General features: G+C 40.1%; 1 protein-coding gene across 1 annotated transcript in view; it reads left to right on the top strand.

The window, feature by feature from the left end:
• The window catches only part of HOOK3 (hook microtubule tethering protein 3), a 133,558-nt gene that overhangs the window by 42,562 nt on the left and 69,968 nt on the right, over positions 1-21,028 (top strand). The window contains exons 5-8 of the mRNA NM_032410.4: positions 3,774-3,906; positions 10,849-10,916; positions 17,555-17,617; positions 19,692-19,775. Of these exons, the coding sequence (NP_115786.1) occupies positions 3,774-3,906; positions 10,849-10,916; positions 17,555-17,617; positions 19,692-19,775 (348 nt within the window). The remainder of the gene's footprint in view (positions 1-3,773; positions 3,907-10,848; positions 10,917-17,554; positions 17,618-19,691; positions 19,776-21,028) is intronic.

The raw sequence follows: 21,028 nt of genomic DNA on the forward strand, positions 1-21,028 counted from the left end.
CTCCCGGACAGGGCGGCTGGCCGAGCGGGGGGCTGACCCCCCCACCTCCCTCCCGGACGGGCTGGCTGGCCGGGCGGGGGGCTGACCCCCCCACCTCCCTCCCGGACGGGGTGGCTGCCGGGCAGAGACGCTCCTCACTCCCCAGACTGGGTGGCTGCTGGGCGGAGGGGCTCCTCACTTCTCAGACGGGGCGGCTGCCGGGCGGAGGGGCTCCTCACTTCTCAGATGGGGCAGCTGCCGGGCAGAGGGTCTCCTCACTTCTCAGACGGGGCGGCCGGGCAGAGACGCTCCTCACATCCCGGACGGGGCGGCAGGGCAGAGGCGCTCCCCACATCTCAGACGATGGGCGGCCGGGCAGAGACACTCCTCACTTCCTAGATGGGATGGCGGCCGGGAAGAGGCGCTCCTCACTTCCTAGATGGGATGGCGGCCGGGCAGAGACACTCCTCACTTTCCAGACTGGGCAGCCAGGCAGAGGGGCTCCTCACATCCCAGACGGTGGGCGGCCAGGCAGAGACGCTCCTCACTTCCCAGACGGGGCGGCGGCCGGGCAGAGGCTGCAATCTCGGCACTTTGGGAGGCCAAGGCAGGCCGCCGGGAGGTGGAGGCTGCAGCGAGCTGAGATCACGCCACTGCACTCCAGCCCAGGCACCATTGGCACTGAGTGAACGAGACTCCGTCTGCAATCCCGGCACCTCGGGAGGCCGAGGCTGGCGGATCACTCGCGGCTAGGAGCTGGAGACCAGCCCGGCCAACACAGCGAAACCCCGTCTCCACCAAAAAAACACGAAAACCAGTCAGGCGTGGCGGCGCGCGCCCGCAATCGCAGGCACTCGGCAGGCCAAGGCAGGAGAATCAGGCAGGGAGGTTGCAGTGAGCCGAGATGGCAGCAGTACAGTCCAGCCTCGGCTCGGCATCAGAGGGAGACCGTGGAAAGAGAGGGAGAGGGAGACCGTGGGGACAGGGACAGGGACAGGGACAGGGAGAGGGAGAGGGAGAGCGAAAATGCTTTTCTTTAGTAATGTTGAATATTAGCTCCCACTCTCTTCTGGCTTGTGGGGTTTCTGCAGAGAGATCTGCTGTTAGTCTGATGGGCTTCCCTTTGTGGGCAACCCGACTTTTCTCTCTGGATGCCCTTAACATTTTTTTCTTCATTTCAACCTTGGTGAATCTGACGATTATGTGTCTTGGGGTTGCTCTTCTTGAGGAATATCTTTGTGGTGTTTTCTATATTTCCTGAATTTGAACGTTGGCCTGTCTTGCTAGGTTGGGGAAGTTTTCCTAGATAATATCCTGAAGAGTGTTTTCCAACTTGGTTCCATTCTCCCTGTCGGTTTCAGGTACACCAATCAAACATAAGTTTGGTCTTTTCATTTTGTTTATTTTATTTATTTATTTATTTATTTACTTACTTATTTTTGAGATGGAGTCTCACTCTGGCATCCAGGCCGGAGTGAGTGCAGTGGCACGACCTCGGCTCACTGGCAACCTCCACCTCCCAGGTTCAAGTAATTCTCCTCTCTTGGCCTCCCAAGTAGCTAGGACCACAGTCTCCTGCCACCACACCCAGCTAATTTTTGTATTTTTAGTAGAGACGGGATTTTACTATGTTGGCCAGGCTGGTTTCAAACTCCTGACCTCAGGTGATCCGCCCGCCTTGGCCTCCCGAAGTGCTGGGATTAAAGGCATGAGCCGGCTGGGCGCAGTGGCTCACACCTGTAATCCCAGCACTTTGGGAGGCCGAGGCGGGCGGATCACGAGGTCAGGAGATCTAGACCATCCTGGCTAACACGGTGAAACCCCATCTCTACTAAAAATACAAAAAAAAATTAGGTGGGTGTGGTGGTGGGCGCTTGTAGTCCCAGCTACTCGGGAGGCTGAGGCACGAGAATGGTGTGAACCCGGGAGGCAGAGGTTGCAGTGAGCCAAGGTCGCGCCACTGCACTCCAGCCTGGGCGATAGAGCGAGACTCCGTCTCAAAAAAAAAAAAAAAAAAAAAAAGAGGCATGAGCCACTGTGTCTGGCCAGTATTTTCTTTTATGTCCTTCTAGGAATTGATTTTCCTATTCAAGGAGAAAAATTTAATTTAATCTGGTTGGTGGTATATTTCTATTCATTTAATTCAATTTGTTTTCCTTATTATTTAGAATAAAACTCACATCCTTGACATAACTTATGAGGACCTAAGTGACATGCCTCCCCCATCCTGACCCCTGGACCTTGTCTTCCACTCCTTCCCCAGCCAAGTGTGGGGAAGGACCCTACTGTTTTTGGAGTTTATCAAGTGCACTCCTACCTGACGACTTTGCCCATGGTAACCTCTGTGTCGTATCCCCCCACCTATAACTATATGGTCTGCCTCTTCATTCCAGGATTCTGCTCAGTTTTTGACTTAGCATAGAGGGCTTCTTTGACCATCCATCTAAAATACCAATCTTGGCCAGGTACGGTGACTCACGCCTGTAATCTCAGCACTTTCAGAGCCCAGGCAGGTGGATTACTTGAGGTCAGGAGTTTGAGACCAGCCTGACCAACATGGTGAAATCCCGTCTCTACTAAAAATACAAAATTAGCTGGGTGTGGTGGCACACGCCTGTAATCCCAGCTACTTGGGAGGCTGAGGCAGGAGAATAGCTTGAACTTGGGAGGTTGCAGTGAGCCGAGATCATGCCATTGCACTCCAGCCTGGGCAACAAGAGTGAAACTCCATCTCAAAAAAATAAAGAAAGAAAAAGTAAAATACCAGTCCCGCTCCTCCAAAACCCCTATTACTTTTTCATTGTAGAATAAATGTGCATTCAGAAAAGCATACCATATGTATATGTACATTTTAAAGGTAATTGTGAAGTGAACAGCCATGTAACATAGGTTGGTTGAATGTCACCAGCACCTACCAGGGCTTGTGTTTACCTTCTTGATCACAACCTCTTTCCTCACCTCCTGTCCAGGGAAAACCATGATTCCCAGGTTTTTAAATAATTGTTTTCTTGTTTGTGTTGATAGTTTTACCACCTGTATGTCATCTAGTTATAGGATGTTTAAAATTTTATTTTCTTTCATTTGCTTCATTATTTGCTTTTTTCTGAGTTTGCTTTCATTGTTTTTGCCTATTTTTAATGTTGGAGACTTCTCAAATGTTTTAATGGTCCTTGGTTGGTTGTTGACATTTAAAAGTAAACCACTATCAAAAGCTGATTGGAATCTGAGTTGGGGGTGCTTTTTGAGTGGTACATTTCACTGTAGGATTGTCAGGCAGAGACCTGCCCATTTGTCTGCATATGAATCATTTCATGTGGGAACAGTCAGTTTCCGTATAAAGAAATTTCATGCTCCTTCCTGACGTAGGTATTTTGCTGCCGGTGTTTTGGGAATCAAGTGGGAATCAAGGTGGCTAGTGAGAATCTTACTGTTGGGGACATGAATTTATATTTAATCTTAGCTCTTTCTGGTGCCCCCTAGTTCATAACCATTTTAGTTCTACTTCTTCAAAGAGTATACACCTATTTCTTCTGGGAGTACTCAGGGTTTTTTTGTTTGTTTTGTTTTTTTTGCTCGATGTACATGCCACATACCAGAGTAGGGACTAAGTTGCTGTGACTCAAGATAGTTATGATTTAGGTATGGGAGGTAGAAATAGAAATTGGGAGTGAAATGGAACATAATCACTCTGTCCTTGGCAATGAGTTTCTGGTAATAACAAACCTCGATCAAGTTTTTTTTTTTTTTGGTCATATAAATGTAAATGCAATTATAATCCTTTTATCTCCATTCAGATTTTAGGACAGCAAATTAATGACTTTACCCTTCCTGATGTGAACCTTATTGGGGAGCATTCTGATGCAGCAGAGCTTGGAAGGATGCTTCAGCTCATCTTAGGCTGTGCTGTGAACTGTGAACAGAAGCAAGGTAATTTGTTTCAAGTTAGTGTTTGCATTTAAAATAATGAAGGAAAGTAGTGTATATTTTATATTTTATATATAAATCACCAGTACCAACAGTAACATCTGTTTAAGGTCACCCCCAAAGAATGCCATTTTCTACAGTTTTACTAGTAATTTGTTTTTAAGCTTAAATGAATTTTGCACATTAAAATAAATTTGACTGGGGTGATATTTTTTCTTTTGTGCAATACCACATAATTCCTTGAGTAGATAACTACACTGAATGCAGTGAAATTTGCTGTTAATTTGACAACATCTACCTAATCTGGAAAAAATGAGCAGAGACATACAGCAGTTTAATAGATATTCAGGTCTGCCTTCCCAACATATATCTGTAACAGATGCCTTCAGCTTCTCCTTTTTCTTTTTTTAGGCATATTGTATTTGGAAAACATTTGCAAGTTTGCCTCTACTGTGGGGAAAAAGAGAGGGAAGAGTATCATTATATGCAATGTTTAAATAATAAAAATAAATTTTGAATTGGGTTTCCTACCCCAAAATCTGGCAGATACTTTTCCTTAAGAAATCACTCCCTGACTTAAATTTTAGATAGTGCCTTGACTATCTTTTAAAGGAAGGAATAGTATTACATATATCAAAATTGTTTCATTTATTTTTAAATAATTGTAAAACTCTTAGAAATACCACAGGAGGCTGGGTACGGTGGCTCATGCCTGTGATCCCAGCACTTTGGGAGGCCACGGTGGGCGGATCACTTGAGGCCAGGAGTTGGAGACCAGCTTGACCAATATGGTGAAACCCCATCTCTACCAGAAAAAAAAAAAATTAGCTGAGTGTGGAGGCACACTCCTGTAATCCCAGCTACTCAGGTGTCTGAGGCATGAGAATCACTTGAACCTGGGAGGCAGAGGTTGCAATGAGCCAAGATCGCATCACTGCACTCCAGCCTGGGCGACAGAGCAAGACCCTGTCTCAAAAAAAGAGAAAAATGCCACAGGATATTTTGTAGTAACATACTCTGGCAAGAAAACATTGAAAAACCTGGAAAACCTTGGGATTAATTTTCACATCGATAAACAGGCTTGTAAAATTAATGGGGCCGGGCGCAGTGGCTCACGCCTGTAATCCCAGCACTTTGGGAGGGTGAGGCAGGTGGATCACAAAGTCAGGAGTTTGAGACCAGCCTGGCCAAGATGGTGAAACCCCATCTCTACTAAAAATACAAAAATTAGCCGGGCGCGGTGGTGGGCGCCTGTAATCCCAGCTGCTTGCGAGGCTGAGGCAGGAGAATCACTTGAACCTGGGAGGCGGAGGTTGCATTGAGCCAAGATTGTGCCACTGCACTTTAGCCTGGGCAATAGATCAAGACTTTTTCTCAGAAAAAAAAAATAATAAAATAACTTAATGGTATCTATCACTGCTAGAAAAATTTCTCGCTAAGCATGTAAATCTGAAAACTGTCTTTTATTTTTTCCCATGTCCTTTGTATTGCAATCTAAAATACCCCATTTTAAGCTCCCAGAGCTGAAATGACCCAATATATTATATCATTATTATTACGTTGAAATATGAGATTAAGAGCATGAGCTGCAGTGTGCATCAACCCATGAATTTCAACTCGTTTCCACCTCTCGCAGGCAATCTCAAGGACTTGGAGTAGATCACTTAACCTCTGTATTTTAGTTTTTTAGTAAAATAGAGATTCATTATAGTACCTACCTCCTAAGGTTATTGTGGAAACTAAATGAGATCATGTATATAGAACAGTACAGTGTCTTGCACATAGTAGTGGTTCACAAAACATTAGTTATTACTAGGAAACATGAAAACATAAGTTTTACATATAGTATTTTATTTTATTTTATTCTATTTTATTTTATTTTTTCGAGATGGAGTCTTGCTCTGTTGCCCAGGCTGGAGTGCAGTGGCATGATCTCAGCTCACTGCAACCTCCACCTCCTGGGTTCAAGCGATTCTCCTGCCTCAGCCTCTTGAGTAGCTGGGATTACAGATGTGCACCACCATGCCTGGCTAATGCTTTGTGTTTTTAGTAGAGGCAGGGTTTCATCATGTTGGTCAGGCTGGTCTCAAACTCCTGACCTCAAGTGATCCACCCGCCTTGGCTTCCCAAAGTGCTAGGATTACAGGCATGAGCCACCACCCCAGCCTATATATAGTATTTTAAAACATTTTCATTCAGTTATTTTATTGTGTGCTTTTGTGAACTTTAAGGTAGCCGCAGTTTTTTAAATGTCATTAGGTGGTGTTCAATGATTATATTTATTTTATCAATAAATGGAATGTAAATTAGTAAAACCACTAACATAGAATTAGAGAAGGCTATTCTCAGTAAGTTAACTTTTAATTTACAGCTTTTGTTAGTTAAGTGTATTTTTGTGTATACAGCAAGTCCAAGTTGACAGATTTGAACTTTGTTGAAGTTACTTGAAGACCAGCTTTGATATATAGATAATAATATAATTAATATCTTTTTTATAGTTCTTCCAAAGTGCTTATCTAATCTTAAATAGCTTTTTTCTCTATTGACAACTACTGATTTGCATAGAAATCACTTGTTTTCTAAAAGCTGTAGTTCAAATTTATCATGCAATAAAGCAGATAAATTTTACCTTAAATTCATTTTCTCTTCTATATTCAATTTATTTCATAAATATTGAACTTATACATTACTAGGGGCTAGGAACACAGTGTTAGAACAGACAAGTACCTGCCCTCAAGGAACTTGAGTGGAAGGACATTAAATAATGCCACAGATACCCGTATGATGAACGCAGAGGTGAGTGTTCCTCAGCTGCAGCTTAAAGGGGGACAGCCTGGGTTTGGGGTCAGGGAAGTTATTTAAGCAAAGCTATGGAAGACAATGGGTTAAGAGTAATGTAAATAGTAGAAGCTGAATGTAGGAAAGACCTAGGTTATCTCTGAGGAATTAAAAAACCCACCACACTATAATTGGAGTATAGTGAGAAAAGGATGAAGGAAAATACGGCAGGAGATAGGGGCTATTATAAATGATGACAGCACAGTATGTTACTATTACTTATGTTGAAGACGATGAATTTTTTTTTTTAAGCCCAAAGGTTTTTTTCTTGTTTCCCCACTGTTTACCCCTTATAGTGCAAAACAGATTTCTATTAACTTGTTGTTTGTACTTTTTTGGTGTTCCATGGTAAGTTTAATAATAGCATTATTTTCTTGAAGTTATGACTAATTTTATTGGTCTCCAATTCAGTATTTTTTAAAACAATATATTTCTTTTCTCTAGCCCCATTCCTATTTTATCATACCATTTTCTCTTTCTTTCTTTTTTTTTTTTTTTTTTTTTCTGGGACAGATTCTCACTCTGTCACCCAGGCTGGAGTCCAGTGGTGTGATCTCGGCTCATTGCAACCTCTGCCTCCCAGGTTCAAGCAATTCTCCTGCCTCAGCCTCCTGAGTAGCTGGGATTACAGGTGCACGTGCCACCACGCCCGGCTAATTTTTGTATTTTTAGTAGAGACGGGTTTTTACCATGTTGGTCAGGCTGGTCTCGAGCTCCTGACCTCATGATCCGCCTGCCTCGGCCTCCCAAAGCTCTGGGATTACAGGCATGAGCCACTGCGCCTGGCCACCATTTTCTTATAGGTAAATTTTAGTTTGCTTATTCAGTTTAGCTCAAGAATTAAATATGGAATTTTCTGCAGTTGTGATCTATGTATATTCCTGGAGTGTCTAACAAGTGTTCTGTCAAAGATTAGGAGATTGGTATACCTAAGATTTGAGACATTAAATCTCTAAGTAGATGCTTCGATTTTAAGGTGGAAAATAGAAATTATTTAATTGAAGTTGATTGATATCAGATAATAACTTCTTATGTATCCTTTTAGGAAATTCATTGACTTCTGGAATTCTCCTTAATATGTAGGGGGTCTTTGGAAGTGCACAACTGTTGAGAGTCAGCTAATTGTATTTACTACAGAATAGGACTAGGAAAAGACAAAGATGTTACCTATATGCATATTCCTGTGGGAAAGAAGATAGTCAATTATAATATTTATTGAAGTTCTCACTCAGACCAAATGTTCTGTAGAAACACCTAGATTGAGTTTCCCCCCAAAATTGTATAAATGATGGAAACTTATTGAACAAAATTTTAACATCTCATTTGTCTAGATTTAGGACATCCTCTGCTCTCAGGAACATAGTAGAGTGCTAAGAATCAAGTACATGAGTGTCTGAGTGGTTAAATATTAGCTGTCACTGCATATTTATGGTATATAATGTAAAACTCACTAAAGCAGTTCTGCTGTTTACTACCTGACTCGCTTGGGATGAGATACTTAGCCTGTGTTGTTGTCTGCAAAATAAGGATGTAAAAGCTGGTTGTCATGAGGAGTGAATGAAATTGTGTGTGTGTGTGTGTATGTGTGTGCTTTGTACTCCATAAAGCAGTGTACAGATTAAAAGAGGCTTATGTTTAAATGTGTTTCCTAATTAGAAGAAGTGAGGAGCATCTGCTAGGGATGTTGACTCAGTGCACATTTGTCTTGGCTATCTTACTTCTCAAATTGGGGCAAATAAAATGGTGGTAAGTTTGAAAAAACAAAGATTAGTAGTAGAAGACACACTAATAATAATTATTTATTATTTCCCTTCTCTCTGGTACCAAAAAATGGTTTTTACAGACTAGGAAGCTGGGACTTGTAAGTGTTATGTGACTTGCCCAATACTTCCTACCTGTGAGAGGCTAGACAAGGACAAAAACTCATGTTTCTTCCACATTTAAACTTAATACTCCCTGTGATAAACTATGCTGTGAATTTTAAACAGTGAAGGCTTCAGGATAAGCTACCTCACATAGCAAATCTCATTCTCCAGCATTGCCTCATAGACACACACCCGGTAATAGCATATCATTTGTATTTTGGACTTTTAAAGATTCATAAATTTTTTTATTTAAAAAACTGTACAGTAATTTAGTTCTCATCATCATTTTATCATTTAGCATTTTACGGTGTTCGCGGGGAAGGGCCTTGACGTGGCAACACCGCTTCTTAACTAACGCTTCCCCTCTCACACCTACTAACCCCTCACCCCTCGAGTCCACTGTTATTTCCTTCACTTTCAATAGGCTGTCATTAAATTCTCCTTCCCCATTATCAGTGCCACTGCTTCTTCTCTTCCATGTTCACAGTCTTACTTTTAGAGCTGTTTAGTCATCCTACCTATGCTGGTTTCTCCATAGCCTTTGAATTCTGTGTTTGATACTTTTGAACAGAACATCTAAAAGCTCCCTTTCTGTATTCCAACACTCATAGGGTGATTCTCATTAAGAAAACAAAACCAAAAATTGAGCTCAGACTAAAGGAATTCTTTTTTGACTAAATAGTGATTAAGTTATGATATTCCTGTTGGCCTAAGAACAATGCCTATGATTTAGTTGTGTTATGTATATTTGTACTTATAACCAAACAATCGATTGGGTACAAGTAGCCTTAGGGCAATACTTCCTTAAAAACATGTTTCTGATAAACTAAAGCTTTAGCATTAACCAGAAGTCATAATTTAATAGTATTGTAAAAATACCTCATTTATTTTAAATCCTGTGTTGGGTAGAGGATTACAGTTGTCATTTCAAATACATGAATCTCTTGTCAAAAGAGTACTTTGACAGTTTCATGGTAAGACCCCTTCATATACTACCTCAAGGAGTGAGATTTTTATTGTGCATGTTGTTTGGATGTATGGGGTTGGAGAGGTAGGTTGAGCCTAAAATTTCCTAATTACTTTACTCTTTTACGTGTTTCTTATTGCAAAGGCAAGAAATTGTTTTCAAGTTTGTCATTACTAATAACAAAGAGATCTTTTTGTTTTTTGGCAGTGGTGAGGATGAGATTGATGGAGTTGCTGCTTTAGCTTATTGGAGGTGTGGATCATTTTATTTTTTGTGTTTGACCGGTCAAGTGACTTAGTGAGAAGGGGGAAGTAGTAGAACAAGGAGTTCCATCTGTAACTGTGAACAGTCAATTGTGATAACTCACTACCTTTAGACCAGTCAATAATTATTTTAAAGCCTGGGATTATACAATATTTGTTTAACTATGGTATCAATTTGTAACTTAAATTCATCTCAATTCTTTGTCCTAAGCAGCTCTCAGTTTCATTTTTTTTGTTTGCTGTAGAAGAAAATATTAAGCCAGGCTGGGCACGGTGGCTCACGCCTGTAATCCCAGCACTTTGGGAGGCCGAGGCAGGCGGATCACGAGGTCAAGAGATTGAGACCATCCTGGCCAACATGGTGAAAACCGGTCTCTACTAAAATACAAAAATTAGTTGGGTGTGGTGGCGCACGCCTGTAGTCCCAGCTACTCGGGAGGCTGAGGCAGGAGAGTGGCGTGAACCTGGGAGGCGGAGGTTGCAGTGAGCCGAGATGGCGCCACTGCACTCCAGCCTGGCGACAGAGTGAGACTCTGTCTAAAAAAAAAAAAAAAGGAAATATTAAGGCAGAATAATGCAGCACGTTGATGTCACATAAAAATAAAGCACAGAGTTCAAAGTTTTTTTTGTTTAACTGCATAGCAAAGAGTAATGTGAAAGATAATTTTTAGATTTTAGAAAAAAGTAATACAGAGATTTTTCCATCTTGGTTTCAGGCTTTACCATTTCATCGTTTTACATTGGCACATACTCATGCCAATATTCCATTCTCGTGACCTGTAGCTGTAGCCTCAACTTTAGAAGGAATGTTGAAAAGGCAAGAAAAGATCTTAAGGAAAGATAAATAGTGTGATTTTCGGACTTTACCAATACATTTAATGGTGTATGTGGGATTCCTAGGAGGAATCAAAACACAGGGAAATGACTTATAAGAATTTATGAAGTATGAGCCTTGATTCCCTTGACCATCTTTAACTTGAACAGTGACATTCTAGATTGTTCTTGTTTTCAGAGTACATCCAAGCCATTATGATGATGGAGGAATCTGTTCAACATGTTGTCATGACAGCCATTCAAGAGGTATGTTGGAGCTTCATGCTTATAGTTTATGAAAAATTAAAGGAGTAAACATGAGTATGAATAATACAAGTGGAAAATTTTAAGAGATTCTCCTCATTTTTAAAGAGTTTTTACTTTGCATTTATGATATAGCTTTTCTTGTTTTTATTCTAAAAAATCATACTCATTTAAATTTTCCAATTTTATTTAAATCTTAAACATTTATTTTGCAGGTATAGATATAACTATTCCTAAATTTTTTTTTTTTTGAGACGGAGTCTCACTCTGTCACCCAGGCTAGAGTGCAGTGGTACAATCTGGGCTCACTGCAACTTCCACCTCCTGGGTTCAAGTGATTCTCCTGCCTCACTCTCCCGAATAGCTGGGACTACAGGTGTGTGCCACCATGCCCAGCTAATTTTTTGTATTTTTAGTAAAGATGGGGTTTCACTTTGTTAGCCAGAATGGTCTCGATCTCCTGACCTCATGATCTGCCCGCCTTGGCCTCCCAAAGTGCTGGGATTACAGGCGTGAGCCATCACGCCCGGCCGACTATTCCTAATTTTTTAAAGTGCCCTTAATGAAATAGTAATAGCAGACTAATTCCTAAAGCTAATAATAAATAATATCTATTATTTATTTATTTATTTGTTTGACCAAGTCTCACTCTGTCGTCCAGGCAATGGTGTGATCTTGGCTCACTGCAACCTCCACCACCCAGGTTCAAGCAATTCTCCTGTCTCAGCCTCCTGAGTAGCTGGGACTACAAGCACATGCCACCACGCCTGGCTAGTTTTTGTATTTTTAATAGAGACAGGGTTTCACCATATTGGTCAGGCTGGTCTCGAACTCCTGAGCCTCAGGTGATCCGCCCTCCCCAGCCTCCCAAAGTGCTAGGATTACAGGCGTGAGCCACGGCGCCCGGCCAAATAATATCTATCTTAAACCAGCAGTCTTCCTCACACTTAACTGGTGGTTTCCTGTTTGGCAGAAAATGGATCTTCACCTCCAGCCATTCCCAAAGCAATTTCTAGATGAATATTTACGTTTTAAATGTAAAACATAAAACTGTAAAAGTAAAAGTAAAACAGAGACTAATAGCTGGTCAAGTTCAGGATGTGAGAATGTTTTTAATCATAAAAGCAGTGGAAGAAACCCTTAAGAGAAATAGAAAAGCGTATGCAGGACATGAATATGCACCTAACATAGAAAAATACAGAAGACAGGCCGGGTGCGGTGGCCTCACACCTGTAATCCCAGCAGTTTGGGAGGCCGAGGCAGGCGGATCACGAGGTCAAGAGATTGAGACCATCCTGGCCAACATGGTGAAACTTCGTCTGTACTAAAAATACAAAAATTATCTGGGCATGGTGGCACATGCCTGTAGTCCCAGCTTCTCGGGAGGCTGAGGCAGGAAAATTGCTTGAACTTAGGAGGCAGAGGTTGGAGTGAGTTGAGATCGCACCACTGTACTCCAGCGTGGCGACAGCGAGACTCCGTCTCAAAAAAAAAAAGAAAAATACAAAAGAAAAACATGAAAAATATTCAATTAAATGCAAATTAAGATGAAATTGTGCTTAAAAAATCTTGCAATGACTTCTGACACCAACTACCCAAAGTTGGGCCAAACTTCACAGATTTAAAGGCATCATTCTCCACAGACTGCCCACAGTTCAGACACCAGCTCCAGGCTCAGGGGTCTCCAGGCCACCCTGTCATCTGACCAACTGCCTACAAATTCAAGGATTCCCACTATCCTTGTACATTGTGTAATTTACTAGAACAACTCACAGAAGTCAGGAATGATAACAGCTTTATTACAGCAAATGGATACAAATCAAATTAAATGCGTTTCTGGATTGTTAAGTTTCTGTTAAACCAAAAAATGCATAGGGTGAGGTCAGGGAAGGTCCCAAATGCAGTTTTGTTTTGTCCCCACCCCATGGTAGCAATATGCAGAGTATTGCCAACCAGAGAAGCTTACCTGAGCCTTTATATCCAGATTCTTTGTTGGGGTTTCATTACATGGGTATGTTTGATTGAATCAGTGACCATGATGTCCAAATCAATTTTCAGCCTCCTTTGTTTCCCAGAGGTCAGGCCGATAACAAAGCCCCAACCTTCTAATCACATGATTGGTCTTTCTGGAGTGGCCAGCTGCCATCTGGAGTCATCTCCTTAGCTTAAACTATCTAAGGGCCCACTGTGAATAGCAAAGACAACTCCTATCTCTAGGGAAATTCTTTATTACCCAGCAAAGCTTTTAAAGAGTTCATTGGTTTAGCAGTCAGCACTGATGGCAGGAATGCAAACTGGTATATCTTTTAAAAATGTTATCCCCTTTTATATCATATAAGATTAGATTGGTCATGTTAAAATACCAAAACTACAGTTACCCAAGCAAGATATGAGTTTAATTTGCTCTCAAGTGGTCCTGGGTTGGTGTGGAGGCTCTATAGTCATCAGGAACCCAACTTTCTTCCATCTTGCTGCTGTGCCGTTCTTAATACATGATTCCCAGCTAGTGGTGCAGTGCTGGCTTTCATGTTTATATTTCTAGCCGGCAGAAAGGATTGAGGAAAGAGTTATCCACCTCCTGCAAGTAGATTTGCAGGAATTCTCACTCCTGTTAGCCAGATATTACCCACCTAGCCACATGGGGGAGTCTGGGAAATGGGGTCCTTATTCTAGATAGTCATGGACCCAACCAAAATTCCAGGCTTCTGTTACTAAGCAAGAGCAGGGAAAAGAATAAGAGGACCGCCAACCATTCTGCCTTAGTGTAGTTGATCCTGTAATTCTACTTTTAGGAGTTTATCCTAAAAAAAAAAAAAAAAAAAGTAAAATACGGCCAGGCGCGGTGGCTCATGCCTGTAATCCCAGCACATTGGGAGGTTGAGGTGGGTGGATCACGAGGTCAGGAGTTCAAGACCAGCCTGACCAACACAGTGAAACCCTGTCTGTACTCAAAATACAAATATTAGCCGGGCGTGGTGGCACGTACCTGTAATCCCAGCTACTTGGGTGGCTGAGGCAGGAGAATGGCTTCAATTTGGGAGCCGGAGGTTGTAGTGAGCTGAGATTGCGCCACTGCACTCCAGCCTGGGTGATAGTGCCAGACTCCATCTCAGAAAAAAAAAAAAAGTAAAATACAAAGATACATAATAGTAGTCATAACAAGCATTTATCTAGCATCTACTATATACTAGATTGGGCTGTGAGTAAGCAATTTCCATTTGTTAGCAAATTCCATTTAAATTTCTGTACACTTGCAAGTAATGCCTCTGAATTTATACTTAAAGTGGTTAAAATGGCAATTTTTGTTAGGTATATTTATCACAATATAAAGGAAAATTCACTACAATCCTGTGAGGTGTATATTATTGTCTTCATTTTATAAAAAGAAACAGAGAGTTTGAGTAACTTGCTCAGGTTCGCATAGAAGTAGTGACCGAGATAGCACTCAGGTCTAAGCAGTGCAGAGCCCATACCTACAACCATTGTGCCGTATCCCTTCAATATAGTGTGCTTCAGTATTATTTCCTAGTACTGAAGCATTAGAAATAACTACCCAGTAGTAGGGCAATGGATAAATAAATTATGGTATACTAGTATACTGGCATATTACATAGGCATTGAAGCATATCTTTGAAAAATATTTAATGACATAAGGGAAAGCTCATATTAGGTTTAAAAAGGTAGATAGAAAGCACATGAACAATATTATGATCCCATTTCTGTCAAAAATAAAAATTAAGATGAGGGAAAACAAATAAACTTGCTTAATGTTAACTCTCCAAATAGCTGAATTTTCTTTACCCTTTTCTATATTTTTAAATTTTTCTATAATAACAGGTGGTATATCTATAACCAGGAATGTTTTTTAAATTAAATCTGTGACCAAGTGACTTTCTATGAACCTATCCCAAAGAATTATTTAAAAACTCAGACCAAGACTGGACACAACAATGTTTATCAAACTATTTTATATTAACAGAAATATGAAAACAATGTATATCCATTAGTAAGCTAGTGTTTAAATTGTGGTATGTCCATATGATGGAATATTACATAGTTGATAAAAATGTGTAAAAGGGTATCTTAGGACAGAAGGAAAAATTTTAAATGTCAAATGACCAGAACAAGATATAAAGTTGTATGTAAAAGAGAATCCAAATTAGATTTTTAATATGTCTATTATTTGCATATTCATTTAGCAAATACTTATTGAGTACCCAGTATGTACCAAGCACTGTAGTCAGCACTAGGGATACAACCATGAAAAAGATAGACATGGTCTCTTTCCTCACAAAGCATAAGTCTCATAGGAGATGCTGGAAGAGATGGAGTTGAAAGCACAGTTGGGGATTAGCCTTGGGTGAGAAGAAGAGCCCTTGTGTTGTAACAGAAATGAAGAAAGGAAGGGGTGGGCATGCCTGTCACTAAGTTTGTAAATTAGGGTAGGGGAAATTCTTATCTGAAGGCAAGATAGTCTGATGATGAGTGTGGGTGAGTTGGTGAGGTTCGAGAAGCAGGAACAGTGTGGAATAATCTCTGATGAAAATGAGGCTGCTGGCTGGGGAAAACAGCTCTGCTTTTTGAGTAGCACTGAAGGCCCAGTTGAGATTGGGAACTTTATTAATAGTGACACCAGTTTTGTGGTTTTTAAATTTCTTTTACCCTCTCAATACAGTTGACCCTTAAACAACACAGGTCTACTTTTATGCAGGTTTGTATTGCACAGGTCTACTTTTGTGCAGTTCTTTTTTTACAACCAAACACAGATGGAATATACAGTCTTTGCAGGATGTGAAACTCACATGTACAGAGACCAACTTTTCACATAGGGAGGTTCTGCAGGGCTGCCTGTGGGTCTTGAGTGTGTGTGCATGTTGGTATATGCCTGAGTCCTACAACTAGTTCCCCATCTATACCGTGGGATGACTTTAGCAGTCAGGGTATAGGTAGCATATAGGCAGTTGTAGCTGGATTAATCTTGGATTGAGATTTTTGCCAGTAAGAAAAAATGAGGTAAGAGGAGAGTAGAGAATATTGACAAAAGTCATAGAAAGACATGAAATCTAGAGAAAATAATTGATTAAACAAATGAACCTAGGAATCGAAAGTAGGGAGGGGGCAATGGTAGACAATGTTAGCAGAAGAAACAGGAGTAAACTTCAGGCAGGCAAAATCAACTGCGTTCACTATCAAGTCTGAGCTAAGTGAGGAAGAAAGTGAAATGATGGGCTAAGACTGAAAGACAAGAAGAAAGTACAGAGGGGTGGGGCCTAGAAGTCTTCCTGATGTTGAGGAACAGATAAAATTTAATGAGAGGCCTACAATGAGAGATGGTTGTGCTCAGAGTAGGATACCTAGATTTTTATTGAGAGCTGTTGCTGGAATCACAAGATCTCAACAGTACATCCTTTTGCCTCTTTTTCTTTTAAGAGATGTGGTCTTGTTACATCGCCCAGGCTAGAGTGCAGTGGCTATTCCCAGGTGTGATCACAGTATTCTCCAACTCCTGGGCTCAAGCATTCCATCCACCCCAGCCTCCCGAGTAGCTGGAACTAAAGGATGCTTACCACCACACCCAGTTATACATCCCCACATTACTGATTGTCCCTCTCCCTTTTGTCTTTAAAACAGAATATAAGAAGGAAACAACAGAAGACTGGGGCCATTTGAGTCTCTCCCTGACAGTTGTCATAACCAGAATTCTGTTCCCTTCTCCCCAGAGATCCGGAAGATCTCTGGATCTTCTCTCTTTGCAACATAAGGATTAGGGCGTGTGTGTGTGTGTGTGTGTGTGTGTGTGTGTGTGTGTGTGTTATCATTAAACATTAGCCAGTAATTTTCGCTAATACTGATGTTGTCCACATTTATTCTTTAGAAATAAATAGTATTGCTATTTTTAGTGAGAAGCCACTATTTTTAAGTATGTAGCCACATTTTAATTTTAATGATTTGTCATTTTTGTGATAAGAATAAGTAATACTAGATTCTTATTACTAGGCTTGCGGTGAAAATGAGCATCAGAATTTAGACCTCTAATTCAATTTATTATTTTATTTACTTTTTTTCTCTTGCCGTGTCTTATGGTGCTGATAGACCTTTAATTTTATTTATTTATTTGTTTATTTTAATTTTGTTTTTTGTTTTTTGTTTTGAGAGGAATCTCGCCCTGTCGCCCAGACTAGAGTGCAATGGCACCATCTCGGCTCACTGCAACCTCCGCCTCCCAGGTTCAAGTGATTCTACTGCCTCAGCCTCCTGAGTAGCTACGATTACAGGCAGGCGCCACCATGCCCAGCTAATTTTTGTATTTTTAGTAGAGATGGGTTTCTCCATGTTGGTCAGGCTGGTCTTGAACTCCTGACCTCATGATCCGCCCACCTCGGCCTCCCAAAGTGCAGGGATTACAGGCGTGAGCCACCGCGCCCAGCCAGCCCTCTAATTTTAAATGAAGGCATTATTCTGGAGTGGGGACAAAAAAAGTTCCGGACTCAGAAGCTTTAATGCAAAGTGTTTTACATGCATGTTTTCATTTTAATTTTTATATTTCTATAGTGGCTGGGTATTCATTTTCTTATGTTAAGTATTTTATGTAGAATGTCTTTTTTGCCTCATAGTTATAATCATTTAAATCTTGATTTCAGCTGATGAGTAAAGAATCTCCTGTCTCTGCTGGAAATGATGCCTATGTTGACCTTGATCGTCAGGTATATAATTTTACATTGTTTTTATTCATGAAAAGGTTGAAAAGGATAAGCATCAGATGTTAATGAGAAGAATGGGTTAAAATTGCTTTTTATTATATTGGTTTAATTCTTTATATTTTACCTAAAATTTTAAGAACATAAGCTGTTTTACTAGTGGAATTTACACATTTATAATTAAGTTTATAATTTGTAATAAAATGCATTTGCAATTAAAATGCTGTTGCATAACCTACTTTGAAATAGGTTAATTTTTTTAGTTTATTGTGACTCCTGTTTTCTAGTCATGAATTTTTATTTTTCTGTTAGTGATATCAGTGTGCCACATTTAACACAATAGATGTTACAGCTTATGATTATATGAATCATAAGAATAAGTTCATGTCATTTTCTTGTAAAATGAAATATACAGTTGTCATTTTCTTGGAAAATGACATGTCAAATTCCTGGAAAATGACATGAATTTATTTTTATGGTTTGTATATAATGCAAAAGATACTTACCTTTTATTTCTTTTCGTCAGTTGAAGATGTCTTCTCGATCCCACCCCTCATTTCTGTAAAGTAGTGAATAATTAAATGCTCTAAGAACTACTGTATTTTTAAAGGAATCCCGCAATGTATTTTTGTGATTTTAACAGAAAAGTTACTTTGTACTTTTAAATATCTCTTCCTTTTTTTTTTTTTTTTTGTTTGACACGGAGTCTTGGTCTATCGCCCAGGCTGGAGTGCAGTGGCGCAATCTCGGCTCACTGCAAGCTTCACCTCCCGGGTTCTCACCATTCTCCTGCCTCAGCCTCCCAAGTAGCTGGGACTACAGGCACCTGCCACCATGCCCAGCTAATTTTTTTTTGTATTTTTAGTAGAGACGGGGTTTCACCATGTTAGCCAGGATGGTCTCGATCTCCTGACCTTGTGATCCACCAGCCTCGGCTTCCCAAAGTGCTGGGGTTACAGGCGTGAGCCACCGCGCCCCGCCTAAATATCGCTTCTTAATGAAGTGTTAATTACATTGTCAGGTTCTGTGTTCAAGCTATTTTGTACATCTCATGCAATACATGAATAGAAATCTTTGTATTCTTTGACTTCTTTCACTTCCTTCTTTCTAAATGTTTTGCAGGAAAATCTTTGGACATGTTGCAATTTTAACCCAAGCTTTAATTTTTTTTTATCTACCACACAGAGGTTTGGTCACATGAAATGAAGAGACAATAAAATTTTCTTTTAATCAATTTTTTTTCATACTTTGCTAATTTAGAGTTTATATAGTAATGAGATACAACTCAGGAATGTTTGGTTTATGTTGAGAGTAAACAAATTTTTTAACGGTGCTGTACAAAATTAACATAAGGTTTTTTGCTTCAGTAATATTTTTGTTTTCTTAATCTCAGGAGATGCAAAATTTTCGTCGTATTCTAACTATTTTCACAACAGTTTTTGATAGTTTTTTTTTTTTTTTTTTTTTTTAAGTTCTGAGATACCTGTGCAGAATGTGCAGGTTTGTTACATAGGTACACATGTGCCATGGTGGTTTGCTGTACCTATCAACCCATCATCTAGGTTTTAAGGCCAACACTCATTAGGTATTTGTCCTAATGCTATCCCTCCCCTTGCCTTGCCATAAGGTTTTAATATGACTCTCCTTCCCCCACCCCCCAGCATAAGGTTTTAATATAACGAAAACACTTGTGTTGAAATGTTCTAGCTGCATATTTTAACAATTAAAATCCCTATTCCCCTAGCACATACATATTTTATGAAGGTAAAATTTCTCAGTTATTAAAGAATTATCCTTACCAAGAACCAGGTAGTGTAGATCAAAAAAGACGCATAAGAAAACTTGATATGGGGAATGAGCCAAATTCAAAGGACAGAAAAATCAAGACTTAGAGTAAAAGAAATTAATTTAAAGTTAAAAGTGCTGTGTTTGTACTCTTCCACAGGATTCTTGATTTCCTCTTGCACCCTTCCCTCTTCAGGAAAGACAGGGGGGAGATGTTTTAATTCTGTGTTGAACATACGAATTATTAATTGTTACCACTTCATATTAAAATGTTTATCTCTTTGTTTCTAACCAGCTGAAGAAAACTACAGAGGAACTAAATGAAGCTTTGTCAGCAAAGGAAGAAATTGCTCAAAGATGCCATGAACTGGATATGCAGGTAAGAGATTTGTTCTGTGCACCACCTCTTTGAAACATACCACTGTAAATACCACCAAATGTGCTGTGTACTGTCATACAGTACATCTTAACTATAACGCAACCCTTTTTTAGGGAAAAAATGGCTGGGCGCAGTGGCTCACACCTGTAATCCCAGCACTTCGGGAGGCTGAGGGTGGCGGGTCACTTGAGCTCAAGAATTCGAGACCAGCCTGGCCAACATGGTGAAACCCCATCTCTACTAAAATACAAAAAATTAGCCGGGTGTGATGGCGGGCGCCTGTAATCCCAGCTACTTGGGAGGCTGAGGCAGGAGAATTGCTTGAACCTGGGAGGCAGAGGTTGCAGTGAGCCGAGATTGTGCCACTGCACTCCAGCCTGGGTGACAGAGCAAGACTACATCTGAAAAAAAAAAAAAAAAAAAAAAAAAATTCAAGAGCATAATTAAAGGTAAAGTTGAGAATACCTTTCACAAATAACAGACAAAAATAAGATTATTTGTCTGGAATTTACTTTGACTAAAGAGGGGGACATACATGGGAGACATAGTTGGCCATGTTTTGATACTTGTTAAAACTGGGTTATGCATATGTAGAGTTCATAATACTTGGTAATAGAAGAGGCATTTTGCTTTGAAAGGCATATGAGTTGGTCATTGCATTGGATGCATATTGAAGAAGGTAATCACATCACACTTGTTGGGTTATCTAGGAAATAATATTTACAAAGTCGTAATGTAAGTGCCATTAATTGCATTTCAGATTTTAGAATTTATATACAAATGCTAAGAGTTATACTAATAAGATTTCATTATTTTTATAAGCAGAATATAAGTATCTTTAGTAATATAAAATTAAATTTGTATACTGGATTGGCAAACTGTGGCTTGCTTTCTGTTTTTACAAATACAATTTTATCATGGCTCCTTTATGTATTGTCTGTGGCTGCTTTCAGGCTTCAATGACAGAGTGGAGTACTTGCCTAAAACATTTACAGTATGGTCCTTTACACCAGAACAGTTTGCCAATCCCAGGTATGGACAGATTGCAAAATGAATGATAGTGTTGCAGAGAGGTTATGAGAAGAGAAGAGGTAGCCCTACAGCATGTTTTGCTGTGGAGAAAACAGCAACACAGTCATAAGCATGTAATGTTTAATGTAAACCTTATTGGTTTTCAACATTTAGAATTCCTACAGAGAAACACTATTGTAAAAGTTAAGATGCCAATGATAGAGTTTGAGAAGTAAAACAGG

The sequence above is a fragment of the Homo sapiens genome, chromosome 8 (genome assembly GCF_000001405.40).
Source record: "Homo sapiens chromosome 8, GRCh38.p14 Primary Assembly".
Lineage (NCBI taxonomy): Eukaryota > Metazoa > Chordata > Mammalia > Primates > Hominidae > Homo > Homo sapiens.